The sequence below is a fragment of the Homo sapiens genome, chromosome 6 (assembly GCF_000001405.40).
Source record: "Homo sapiens chromosome 6, GRCh38.p14 Primary Assembly".
In the NCBI taxonomy this organism is placed as follows: Eukaryota; Metazoa; Chordata; class Mammalia; order Primates; family Hominidae; genus Homo; species Homo sapiens.
This window is the reverse complement of record NC_000006.12, coordinates 75,676,439-75,689,271: the sequence shown is the minus strand read 5'-3', so window position 1 is coordinate 75,689,271 and position 12,833 is coordinate 75,676,439. Positions and strand designations below refer to the sequence as shown.

The 12,833-nt window shown below is 39.4% G+C and overlaps 1 protein-coding gene across 3 annotated transcripts in view, besides 2 other annotated features; it reads right to left on the bottom strand.

Moving 5' to 3' along the window:
- Nucleotides 1–12,833, bottom strand: part of SENP6 (SUMO specific peptidase 6) — a 116,402-nt gene that overhangs the window by 29,010 nt on the left and 74,559 nt on the right. For 2 of the 3 annotated variants that reach the window (NM_015571.4, NM_001100409.3), the window contains 3 exons: nt 12,016–12,242; nt 10,580–10,689; nt 10,345–10,461 (listed from right to left, as the gene is read on the bottom strand). In NM_015571.4, the coding sequence (NP_056386.2) occupies nt 10,345–10,461; nt 10,580–10,689; nt 12,016–12,242 (454 nt within the window). Of the gene's footprint in view, nt 1–9,404; nt 10,462–10,579; nt 10,690–12,015; nt 12,243–12,833 lie in introns of those variants that run through there. The other variant, NM_001304792.2, reaches the window with a different exon arrangement.
- Nucleotides 564–1,063: an enhancer, noted in NCBI's record as "H3K4me1 hESC enhancer chr6:76397925-76398424 (GRCh37/hg19 assembly coordinates)". NCBI's record gives its function as "activates a minimal SCP1, AML or CMV promoter by ChIP-STARR-seq in primed H9 embryonic stem cells {active_cell/tissue: H9 hESC(primed)}" and the evidence as "EXISTENCE:reporter gene assay evidence [ECO:0000049][PMID:30033119]".
- Nucleotides 1,064–1,565: an enhancer, noted in NCBI's record as "H3K4me1 hESC enhancer chr6:76397423-76397924 (GRCh37/hg19 assembly coordinates)". NCBI's record gives its function as "activates a minimal SCP1, AML or CMV promoter by ChIP-STARR-seq in primed H9 embryonic stem cells {active_cell/tissue: H9 hESC(primed)}" and the evidence as "EXISTENCE:reporter gene assay evidence [ECO:0000049][PMID:30033119]".

Below are 12,833 nucleotides of genomic sequence, written 5' to 3'. Positions count from 1 at the left end.
TCTTTTGACTTATCTATAAAGATTTTATTTTTTTCTTGGATATAGTGTCTTGCTCTGTCACCCAGGTTGGAGTACAGTGGTGTGTAATCATAGCTCACCGTAGCCTCAAACTCTTGTCATGGGCTCAAGTGATCCTCCCATCTCAGCCTCCTCAATAGCTAGGACTATAGGTGTGCACCACCATGCCCAGCTGAATTTTTTTCTTGAGACGGAGTTTCACTCTTGTTGCCCAGGCTGGAGTTCAATGGCATGATCTCGGCTCCCCGCAACCTCCACCTCCTGGGTTCAAGTGATTCTCCTGCCTCAGCCTCCCAAGTAGCTGGGATTACAGGCATGCACTACCACACCTGGCTAATTTTGTATTTTTAGTAGAGTTGGGGTTTCTCCATGTTGGTCAGGTTGGTTTCACCTCCTGACCTCAGATGATCCACCTGCCTCGGCTTCCCAAAGTGCTGGGATTATAGGCGTGAGCCACCACGCCTGGCTTGCCCAGCTAATTAAAATTTTCTTTTTTGTAGACACAGGGCTTCATTATATTGCACAGGCTGGGTCTCCAACTCTTGGCTTCAAGTGATCCTCCCACCTTGGCCTCCCAAAGCCCTGGGATTACAGGTATGAGCCACTGTGTCTGGTCAGCTATGAAGAACTTTGAAACACACCAAAAGGAAAAATGGTGTCCTTGAAATGGGGGCACAGTTTAAACTAAATAGAATATAATCCTGGACGGGGGGGTGGGGTGGCGGTTCCAAGATGGCCAAATAGGAATAGCTCCGGTCTGCAGCTCTCAGCATGACCGATGCAGAAGATGGGTGATTTCTGCGTTTCCAACTGAGGTAACTAGTTCATCTCATTGGGACTGGTTGGACAGGGGATGCAGCCCATGGAGGGTGAGCTGAAGCAGGGCGGGGCATCACCTCACCCAGGAAGTGCAACAGGTTGGGGGATTTCCCTTTCCTAGCCAAGGGAAGCCTTCACAGACTACCTGGAAAAATGGGACACTCCCGCCCAAATACTGTGCTTTTCCCAAGGTCTTAGCAACCAGCAGACAAGGTGATTCTCTCCCGTGCCTGGCTCGGCGGCTCCCACGCCCATGGAGCCTTGCTCACTGCTAGCACAGCGGTCTGAGATCCATCTGTGAGACAGGAGCCTGACTGGGGGAGGGGCATCCGCCATTGCTGAGGCTTGAGTAGGTAAACAAAGCGGCCAGGAAGCTCAAACTGGGTGGAGCCCACTGCAGCTCAACAAGGCCTACTGCCTCTAGACTCCACCACTGTGGGCAGGGCATAGCTGAAAAATAGGCAGCAGACAACTGCAGACTTAAACATCCCTGTCTGATAGCTCTGAAGAGAGCAGTGGTTCTCCCAGCACGGCATCTGAGCTCTGAGAACGGACAGAATGCCTCCTGAAGTGGGTCCCTGACCCCTGTGTAGCCTAACTGGGAGACACCTCCCAGTAGGGGCCGACAGACACCTCACATAGGCAGCTGCCCCTCTGGGACGAAGCTTCCAGAGGAAGGATCAGGCAGCAATATTTGCTGTTCTGCAGCCTCTGCTGGTCTGGAGTGGAACTCCAGCAAACTCCAAAAGACCTACAGCTGAGGGACCTGACTGTTAGAAGGAAAACAGAAAGGAATAGCATCAACAAACAGAAAGGAATAGCATCAACATCAACAAAAAGGTCATCTACACCAAAACCCCATCTGTCGGTCACCAACATCAAAGACCAAAGGTAGATAAAACCACAAAGATGGGGAGAAACCAGAGCAGAAAAGCTGAAAATTCTAAAAATCAGAGCACCTCTTCTTCTCCAAAGGATTGCAGCTTCTTGCCAGCAACGGAACAAAGCTGGACGGAGAATGACTTTGACGAGTTGACAGAAGCAGGCTTCAGGAGGTCAGTAATAACAAACTTCTCCGAGCTAAAGGAGGATGTTCGAACCCATCGCAAGGAAGCTAAACACCATGAAAAAAGATTAGATGAATAGCTAACTAGAATAAAGAGTGTAGAGAAGACCTTAAATGACCTGATGGAGCTGATAACCATTGCACAAGAACTTCACGACACATGCACAAGCTTCAATAGCCAATTCGATCAAGAGGAAGAAAGAGTATCAGTGATTGAAGGTCAAATTAATGAAATAAAGTGAGAAGACAAGGTTAGAGAAAAAAAAGTAAAAAGAAACAAACAAAGCCTCCAAGAAATATGGGACTATGTGAAAAGACCAAATCTACATTTGATTGGTGTACCTGAAAGTGACGGGGAGAATGGAACCAAGTTGGAAAACACTCTGCAGGATATTACCCAGGAGAACTTCCCCAGCCTAGCAAGGCAGGCCAATATTTAAATTCAGGAAATGCAGAGAACACCACAAAGATACTCCTTGAGAAGAGCAACTCCAAGCCACATAATTGTCAGATTCCCCAAGGTTGAAATGAAGGAAAAAGTGTTAAGGGCAGCCAGAGAGAAAGGTTGATTACCCACAAAGGGAAGCCCATCAGACTAACAGTGGATCTCTCGGCAGAAACCCTACAAGCCAGAAGAGAGTGGGGGCCAATATTCAACATTCTTAAAGGAAAGAATTTTCAACCCAGAATTTCGTATCTAGCCAAACTAAGCTTCATAAGTGAAGGAGAAATAAAATACTTTACAGACAAAGCAAATGCTGAGAGATTTTGTCACCACCAGGCCTGCCTTGCAAGAGCTCCTGAAAGAAGCACTAAACATGGAAAGAAACAACTGGTACCAGCCACTGCAAAAACAGGCCAAATTGTAAAGACCATCGATGCTATGAAGAAACTGCATCAATTAATGGGCAAAATAACCAGCGAACATCATAATGACAGGATCAAATTCACACATAACAATGTTAACTTTAAATGTAAATGGGCTAAATGCCCCAATTAAAAGACACAGACTGGCAAATTGGATAAAGAGTCAAGACCCATCAGTGTGCTGTATTCAGGAAACCCATCTCACATGCAGAGAGACACACAGGCTCAAAATAAAGGGATGGAGGAAGATCTACCAAGCAAATGGAAAACAAAAAAAGGCAGGGGTTGCAATCCTAGTCTCGGATAAAACAGACTTTAAACCAACAGAGATCAAAAGAGACAAAGAAGGCCATTACATAATGGTAAAGGGATCAATTCAATAAGAAGAACTAACTATCCTAAATATATATGCACCCAATACAGGAGCACCCAGATTCATAAAGCAAGTTCTGAGTGACCTACAAAGAGACTTAGACTCCCACACAATAATAATGGGAGACTTTAACACCCCACTGTCAACATTAGACAGATCAACGAGACAGAAAGTGAAGAAGGATACCCAGGAATTGAACTCAGCTCTGCAACAAGCAGACCTAATAGACATCTACAGAACTCTCCACCCCAAATCAACAGAATATACATTCTTCTCAGCACCACATCGCACTTATTCAAAAATTGACCACATAATTGGAAGTAAAGCACTCCTCAGCAAATGTAAAAGAATAGAAATCACAACAAACTGTCTCTCAGACCACAGTGTAATCAAATTAGAACTTAGGATTAAGAAACTCACTCAAAACTGCACAACTACATGGAAACTGAACAACTTGCTCCTGAATGACGGGTAAATAACGAAATGAAGACAGAAATAAAGATGTTCTTTGAAACCAGTGAGAACAAAGGCACAACGTACCAGAATCTCTTGGACACATTTAAATCACCTTAATTTAAAGCAGTGCGTAGAGGGAAATTAATAGCACTAAATGCCCACAAGAGAAAGCAGGAAAGATCTAAAATTGACACCCTAACATCACAATTTAAAAAACTAGAGAAGCAAGAGCAAACAAATTCAAAAGCTAGCAGAAGGCAAGAAATAACTAAGATCAAAGCAGAACTGAAGGAGATAGAGACAAAAAAAACCCTTCAAAAAAAATCAATGAATCCAGGAGCTGGTTTTTTGAAAAGATCAACAAAATTGACTGACTGCTAGCAAGACTAATAAAGAAGAATCAAATAGATGCCATAAAAAATGATAAAGGGGATATCACCACTGATCCCACAGAAGTACAAACTACCATCAGAGAATAAACACCTCTATGCAAATAATCTAGAAAATCTAGAAAAAATGGATAAATTCCTGGACACATACACCCTCCCAAGACTAAACCAGGAAGAAGTTGAATCTCTAAATAGACCAGTAACAGGCTCTGAAATTGAGGTAATAATTAATAGCCTACCAACCAAAAAAAGTCCAGGACCAGATGGATTCACAGCCTAATTCTACCAGAGGTACAAGGAGGAGCTGGTATCATTCCTTCTGAAACTATTTCAATCAACAGAAAAAGAGGAAATCCTCCCTAACTCATTTTATGAGGCCAGAATCATCCTGATACCAAAGCCTGGGAGACACACAACAAAAAAAGAGAATTTCAGATCAATATCCCTGATGAACATTGATGTGAAAATCCTCAATAAAACACTGGCAAACGAAGTCCAGCAGCACATCAAAAAGCTTATCCACCATGATCAAGTGGGCTTCATCCCTGGGATGCAAGGCTGGTTCAACATATGCAAATCAATAAACATAATCCATCGTATAAACAGAACCAATGACAAAAACCACATGATTATCTCAATAGATGCAGAAAAGGCCTTTGACAAAATTCAACATCCCTTCATGCTAAAAACTCTCAATAAACTAGGTATTGATGGAAAATATCTCAAAATAATAAGAGCTATTTATGACAAACCCACAGCCAATATCATCCTGAATGGGCAAAAACTGGAAGCATTCCATTTGAAAACCAGCACAAGACAAGGATGCCCTCTCTCACCACTCCTATTCAACATAGTGTTGGAAGTTCTGGCTAGGGCAATCAGGCAAGAGAAAGAAATAAAGCGTATTCAATTAGGAAATGGGGAAGTCAAACTGTCCCTGTTTGCAGATGACATGATTGTGTATTTAGAAAACCCCATCATCTCAGCCCAAAATCTCCTTATGCTGATAAGCAACTTCAGCAAAGTCTCAGGATACAAAATCAATGTGCAAAAATCACAAGCATTCCTATACACCATTAACAGATAAACAGAGAGCCAAATCATGAGTGAACTCCCATTCACAGTTGCTACAAAGAGAATAAAATACCTAGGAATCCAACTTACAAGGGATGTGAAGGACCTCTTCAAGGACAATTACAAACCACTGCTCAACGAAATAAAAGAGGACACAAACAAATGGAAGAATATTCCATTCTCATGGATAGGAAGAATCAATATCATGAAAATGGCCATACTGCCCAAAGTAATGTATAGATTCAATGTCATCCCCATCAAGCTACCAGTGACTTTCTTCACAGAATTAGAAAAAACTACTTTAAAGTTCATATGGAACCAAAAAAGAGCCCGCATTGCCAAGACAATCCTAAGCAAAAACAACAAAGCTAGAGGCATCACGCTACCTGACTTCAAACTATACTACAAAGCTACAGTAACCAAATCAGCATGGTACTGGTACCAAAACAGAGATATACACCAATGGAACAGAAAAGAGGCCTGAGAAATAATACCACACATCTACAACCATCTGATCTTTGACAAACCTGACAAAAACAAGAAACGGGGAAAGGATTCCCTATTTAATAAATGGTGCTGGGAAAACTGGCTAGCCATATGTAGAAAGCTGAAACTGGATCCCCTCCTTACACCTTATACAAAAACTAATTCAAGATGGATTAAAGACTTAAATGTTAGACCTAAAACCATAAAAACCCTAGAAGAAAACCTAGGCAATACCATTCAGGTCATAGGCATGGGCAAGGACTTCATGACTAAAACACCAAAAGCAATGGCAACAAAAGCCAAAATTGACAAATGGGATCTAATTAAACTAAAGAACTTCCGCATGGCAAAAGAAACTATCATCACAGGCAACCTACAGAATGGGACAAAATTTTTGCAATCTACCCATCTGACAAAGGGCTAATATCCAGAATCTACAATGAACTCAAACAAATTTACAAGAAAAAAAAACCCCATCAAAAAATGGGCAAAGGATATGAACAGACACTTCTCTAAAGAAGACATCTATACAGCGAACAGACACATGAAAAAATGCTCACCACCACTGGTCATCAGAGAAATGCAAATCAAAAACCACAATGAGATAACCATCTCATGCCAGTTAGAATGGCAATCTTTAAAAAGTCAGGAAACAACAGATGCTGGAGAGGATGTGGAGAAATAGGAATGCTTTTACACAGTTGGTGGGAGTGTAAATTAGTTTAACCATTGTGGAAGACAGTGTGGCGATTCCTCAAGGATCTAGAACTAGAATTACCATTTGACCCAGCAATCCCATTACCTGGTATATACCCAAAGGATTATAAATCATGCTACTATAAAGACACATGCACATGTATGTTTATTGCGGCACTATTCACAATAGCAAAGACTTGGAACCAACCCAAATGTCCATCAATGATAGACTGGATTAAGGAAATGTGGCACATATACACCATGGAATACTATGCAGCCATAAAAAAGGATGAGTTCATGTCCTTTGCAGGGACATGGATGAAGCTGGAAACTATCATTCTCAGCAAACTATCACAAGGACAGAAAACCAAACACAGCATGTTCTCACTCATAGGTGGCAACTGAACAATGAGATCACTTGGATACAGGGCGGGGAACATCACACACCAGGGCCTGTTGTGGGATGGAGGGCTGGGGGAGGGATAGCATTAGGAGAAATACCTAATATAAATGATGAGTTGATAGGTACAGCAAACCAACATGGCACATGTATACCTATGTATCAAACCTGCATGTTGTGCACATGTACCATAGATCTTAAAGTATAATTAAAAAAAAAAAAGAATATAATCCTGATGTTGAGTAGATCCTGCTGGTTGATGGTGTTGTCGAGTTCTTCTATATCCTTGTTGATTTTCTTTCTAGTTGTTCTATCAATTGTTGAGAGAGGGGTACTAACATCTCCAATTTTATTTGTGGATTTGTCTGTTTCTCCTTTCAGGTCTATCAGTTTTTGCTTCACACATTTTATAGTTCTGTTGTTTAGTACATAGGATTAGTATGTTTTCTTGGTGGATCATTCCTTTATCATTACATAACATCCTTCTTGATCCCTGGTAATTTTCTTTCCTCAGAAGTTTATTTGTCAGACTCTGCTTTCTTGTGTTTAATGTTTGTATGGTTTATCTTTTCCATCCTTTTTCTTTCAACCTATTTAATATCATTACTTTGACATTCCTTGTAGACAGTTCACTGATTCTTTCCTCTGTCTTTTCCATTCTGCTATTGAGCCCAGCCCCTGAAGTCATTATTTCAGTTTTGTATTTTGAGTTCTAAAATTTCCATTTGTTTCTTCCTTGTTTTTTATATTTTTGTTTTTTTGTAGAGATGAGGATTTTGCTATGTTGCCCAGGCTGGTCTCAAACTCCTGGCCTCAAGTGATCCTCCCACCTTGGCCTCCAAAATTGCTAGGATTACAGGCATGACCCATCCATTTGTTTCTTCTTTATATTGTTTTGAGTTTTCATTTGTTTCAAGAGTTGTCATCATGTTCATTAAAACATTTTTATGATGGATGCTGTATCAGTCCGTTCTCTCACTGCTCTAAAGAACTACCTGAAAATTAGCTGGGTGTGGTGGTGAGTACCTGTAATCCAAGCTACCTGGGAGGCTGAGGTGGAAGGACTGCTTGAATGTAGAAGGCAAAGGCTGCCGTGGGCCAAGATCGCGCCACTGCACTGTAGACTGGGTGAGAGAGCAAGACTCCATCTCCAAAAAAAAAAAAAGAAATACCTGAGACTGGGTAATTTATAAAGAAAAGAGGTTTAATTGACTCACAGATCCACAGGCTATACAGGAAGCGTAGCTGTGGAGGCCTCAGGAAACTTGGAATCATGAGGGAAGGTGAAGAGGAAGGACATACATCTTACATGGCCAGAGCAGGAGTAACAGAGAGCAAAGGGGGAGGTGCTACACACTTTTATAAACAACCAGAACTTGTGAGAACTTACTCAATGTAACAAGGATGGAAAGGGGGAAATCTGCCCCCAGAATCCAATCACCTCCCACAAGGCCCCTCTTCCAACATTGTGGATTACAAATGGACATGAGATTTGGGCGGGGACACAAACCTCAACTGTATCAGATGCTTTAAAATCTTTGTCAAATAATTCTGACATTTGTGTCTTCTTGGTGTTAATGTCTATTGATATTCTTTTCTCATTCAGTTTGAGATCTTCCTGATTCTGGGTAAGGCAAATGATTTTCATTTTGAAATCTGGACATTTTGAGTACTATGGTTTTTGTTTTTGCTGGCAACTATGTAGAGCAATATAATTCTTGTGTTTTAGCAGACTTCCTCTAGCACCACACTCCAGTGGGTAGTAGGGTGTTACCTCATTATTGTGAGGTGGGACTAAAAGTACATGTTCTCTACTAGACCTCCACTGATACCAGAGAGCTCCCTGTTACTGATGGATGGGGGTGGGACTCCTCCAATAGGCTTCCACTGATACCATCTCTAATGGAGTTCAGGGGTGCAAGTCCAGGCTGTATAGTTAACTTAATTACCTTGGGGTCATTGTGAACTCAAAATTATACTTAGTTAGCCCTTATCTGCCTTGATCTCTGCTATATTGTTAACACTGAGTATAATCTCCTTTAAAGCTCTCACTTCCCTTCAATTTCTCTTCTTACTTCTTCAACAGCTTTGGAAATTATTCATGGGAGCCTTTTTATTCCCGGTCTATCTCTTAAAATGTAATCTCCAGGATCTGTCCGTATACTCTTTTTCTCATTCTATATCCCTACATAAGCAATTTCATTCATTCTCACAATTAAACAACATCTTACCATCTCTGTTGGTCAGAACTCAACCAAACTCTAGCGCCATTTGCTCAACTGCTTATTGGCACTGTCCTTTTGTTATATCACAGACCTCTAAAAGGGAACTTATCCCCTCCTCACCCAAGCCTGTTCTCCTTCTGCATTCACTGCTTTAGTGCCAACATCATTTAGCAGGTCTTGTGAGCCAGAAAACTAGGAGCTACCTGGTACCCTTTCCTCTCCTCCTTAATATCCACTTAATTAGTCCTGGAGTACTACTAATTCTATATAGTAAACAATTCTACCTCATAAAATGTCTCATCATTTCAACTAAAATATCTTAAATAGGCTTCTTAAATCATCTTAATTAAATTTCCTTAAATCACCTCTCATCTAGACTTCCACGATGTCATGCCTATCAAAATGGTCTTAACAGAAATTCAATTATGATATCATTTCTCTGATCAAAACTTTGCTCTTTATAACAATGTGTTTTCCCACCAAACTGAGTTGCAACCACCAATAGGCTATAAAATCAATTCAGCAGATTCCAGCATCAATTTTTAAAAGTTTTGTTTTGTTTAATGAAACACAGTATAAGAAACTAGAAAATATTACAGAGAACTATGCATACTGATGCTAAGTTCTGTTTTATTTCATATACATGTCCATTTTATATCACAAACCAGTAAAAACATACAAATTGATAAATGTATAAACACATTGCACATAGGTGTATACATGTGTTATGTTGGGTCATAATGTATATTGGGTCATAATGTAAGCTCTTCCAGGAAAGCTTCCTGGTCCCTCATATCTCCCAACCTCCAAAGATAATGAAGCATTCTCTCATCTGCTAGGACTGTACCATGTTAATGCTTCTATCATTGCTTTAATTCTGTATTTGTGCTTCCTACAAGACCATAAACTTCTAACACTGTACTAGGCATTTTTCCTACTACTTGATATGTACGATCTCATTTAATTCTCACAACTCCTGTTTTCGGGGGTGGGTGTGGGGGTAGAGTTTTGCTTTGTTGACCAGGCTGGAGTGCAGTGGCGCCATCATGGCTCAGTGCAACTTCGAACTCATGGGCTCAGGTAATCTTCCTGTCTGAGCCTCCCAAGTGGCTGGGACTATAGGTATATGACTGGCTAATTTTTAAATTTTTTGTGGAGACAAGGTCTCACTTTGTTTCCCAGGCTGGTCGTGAACTCTTGGGCTCAAGCGATCCTCCCACCTTGACCTCCCAAAGTGTCAGGATTATAGACATAAGCCAGATATCTCCCTGGCCCAATTTTCACAACTTTTTAGATAGAATTCTCATTTTTAAAATGTGCAAAGACAGAAACAGAAAAAATAACTCCCCAAATGTCACACAGTAAGTGGCAGAGATGGAATTTAAAACTCAAAAAGCCTGACTCTGGAAAACAAAGACATAAGATATGACGGAATGTTAAAGATTTAATAAAAGATCAGTGGAAAATTAACTTACTTCAAATAAAAGTCTATAATAACATCATTTAAAAATTCTCCTTCATTTAGACAGTGCAGGTCCTCATTGGTAACAGAGATGCCTCCCTTAGCTGGAGGTGGTGGATATACTATCAACCTGTAACAAAATTAGAAGGCAAGCAAATAAACAAATCTATATATATATACACAACTGAAATGTAATAAAACAGAGAAAGACATTTAAGATCATTGCAAATATAAAGGAATTCTCTCACTTTTCTACTGGGCCAATGAAGATGGTGTGGTTTTCTCCAGTTTCTTCTTCTTCATCAAAAAACTGAAATTCTTGTTTGCTTCTAAGTTGTATTTTAGATTCAAATGATACCTGGTAAAGGAAATTAAATTAGCAATTTACAGTCAATTAGGAAAAGTTTCAATAAAAAGGGTAAGCACAAGGCAAGAATGCTTTTCAATGCAAAAGGATTAAAAATGTGGAACTAAAAAGTATGCATGATACTTAACAATTAAAAACAAGAAACAGGCAAAACTAGGGGCCACTTTCTTATTATCTGTAGCTTCTAGATAGTGATACTCTCCCAACTTATGTAACAGTAATTTTCCAGTATCTTACTTCTCTCTCTACTATCTACATGAAATTAAATAATGCTGGTAAAATTCAAATAACCTTTCAAAAAAACCAAAGTGGTTTTTGCCTCTTAGTTCAATGGCTAGGCAATCTATAAGATGTAGGGGCAGAGGCTCAGGGAACACAGTCTAATGAGTTTCAGCCCTCCATAAAGCTAAGTGAAACAGGGGTTCCTTGGAGGAAAGAACCTTCCTCTGAAGTTTGAGTCCATCCCAGTGGCATTATGCTGCTCTTTTCTTCCTCTGGCACTGTCTCCCATGCAAACTATGCAAAAGAAAAAGAACCATTTCCCTTTCTTCTTTTGTTCTTTTCTCAACCCACTTAACTATATTTACAGCTCTTCTCTGGGGAGTCCTTGCTCAACTATCACCAAGATTGCGCTGTGGATAGCCATATTTCCAAGTTTGTAGGCAGTGTGAGAGATCTGTTCCCAATAAATTAGGTCAGCAAAGCTAAGTTGCTGTAATAGGAAATAAACTTAGAGTTTTAAAATTATGTTTGTATTATTTACCATTATACTATGTGTTTAGTAGTATTGTGGCCTTTGCTTCAGGTGGCTTCAGAGTTACCTACCTATATGAATAGTTATTTTAGTACTAGATACATGTTTTGACAATAAAGATCAAATAGCATGTATTCTTCATCTCTCAAGTTTTCAACCATATATGCCTATATTACATACAAATGTACACCACGGACCACAATTTCTTCAAACGTAAGACACAGGGTAACCAATCCATTTGAATGTAGCAGTGTGTGCATATATATGTTGGAAGTAGGGTATAAAGAAAAAAGGATGACAGAGAAAATGATGATGAAAAGTAAAGATAAGGATAGAATGTGGAGGAACCAAAAATGCTTCTGAGACCTGTATCAAGTGGTATTTGGCACCTACCCACCACTGTTTTGACACAAGGTAGTTTACAAATCACACATAAAAGTAAGTAATTCTGAAATAAAATTAAAAAGATTTAACACTGAAATGAACAGTATTAAAATAAAACATATTTCCCTTTAAAACTACCCACAATTTAAGAATATTTTTAAATTAAAAAACATAATTACAGTTTTAATTTTGTTTTCCTTTTGCCCACAACTTCCTTTGATGCTCTCTTCATAGGTTCTTGTACAGGCAACAAGTCTGCCATTAGCTTCTTCAAAGGGAATTTTCGCAAAAAAATTGGAGATGTTATTCTTTATACCAATTTCATTAATGATACTTTCAAATACCATATTTGCCGGAGGATCAAGGCCATTTTGAAAAATTAAAATTATATATTGTTCTTCTAAATCTGAAAAGAAATAAATATAAGTCCAAAAAAAAACACAAAAGAAGTAAATAGATACTTTTAAAAGGAGTAATTATTAATTCTTTCCAGGAGGATAATCAGAAATCCCAGTATAAAGGTCCACAACAATGTCTGACATACAGTGGATACACAACAATCACTGGAAAGACCAGTATGTGTTACATGCCAATGTCACCTAAGTTATTGGAAGGAACCAGAATACATTACTCTAACAACAGTTCAAGAACAAATCTATTCACGTATGTAACTAATTTACTTCATCTAATAAATCTAAATCTATAGTCTTAAAGATATAATAGTTAACATTTTTGTCAAACACAAATAGAAAATTGCCATGTGAACTGGTAGTATCTCAAGAGAATCTAACTGCAAAACAGCTTTTCACTAATGTGCCAACTCTTGCAAATTTAGTGGTAGCTAACATTTTTTCATAATTAAGCTGAAGCAGCAATTACTGCTGAAATGTGTATATCTTCTAAGCAGTCAAGCCATGCTTTAAGTGTTAAAGGTGAAGGAAAAAAACCTGGAGAACCACATCTATGTATTATAAAGACTTAAGGCCCATTTTAGGAA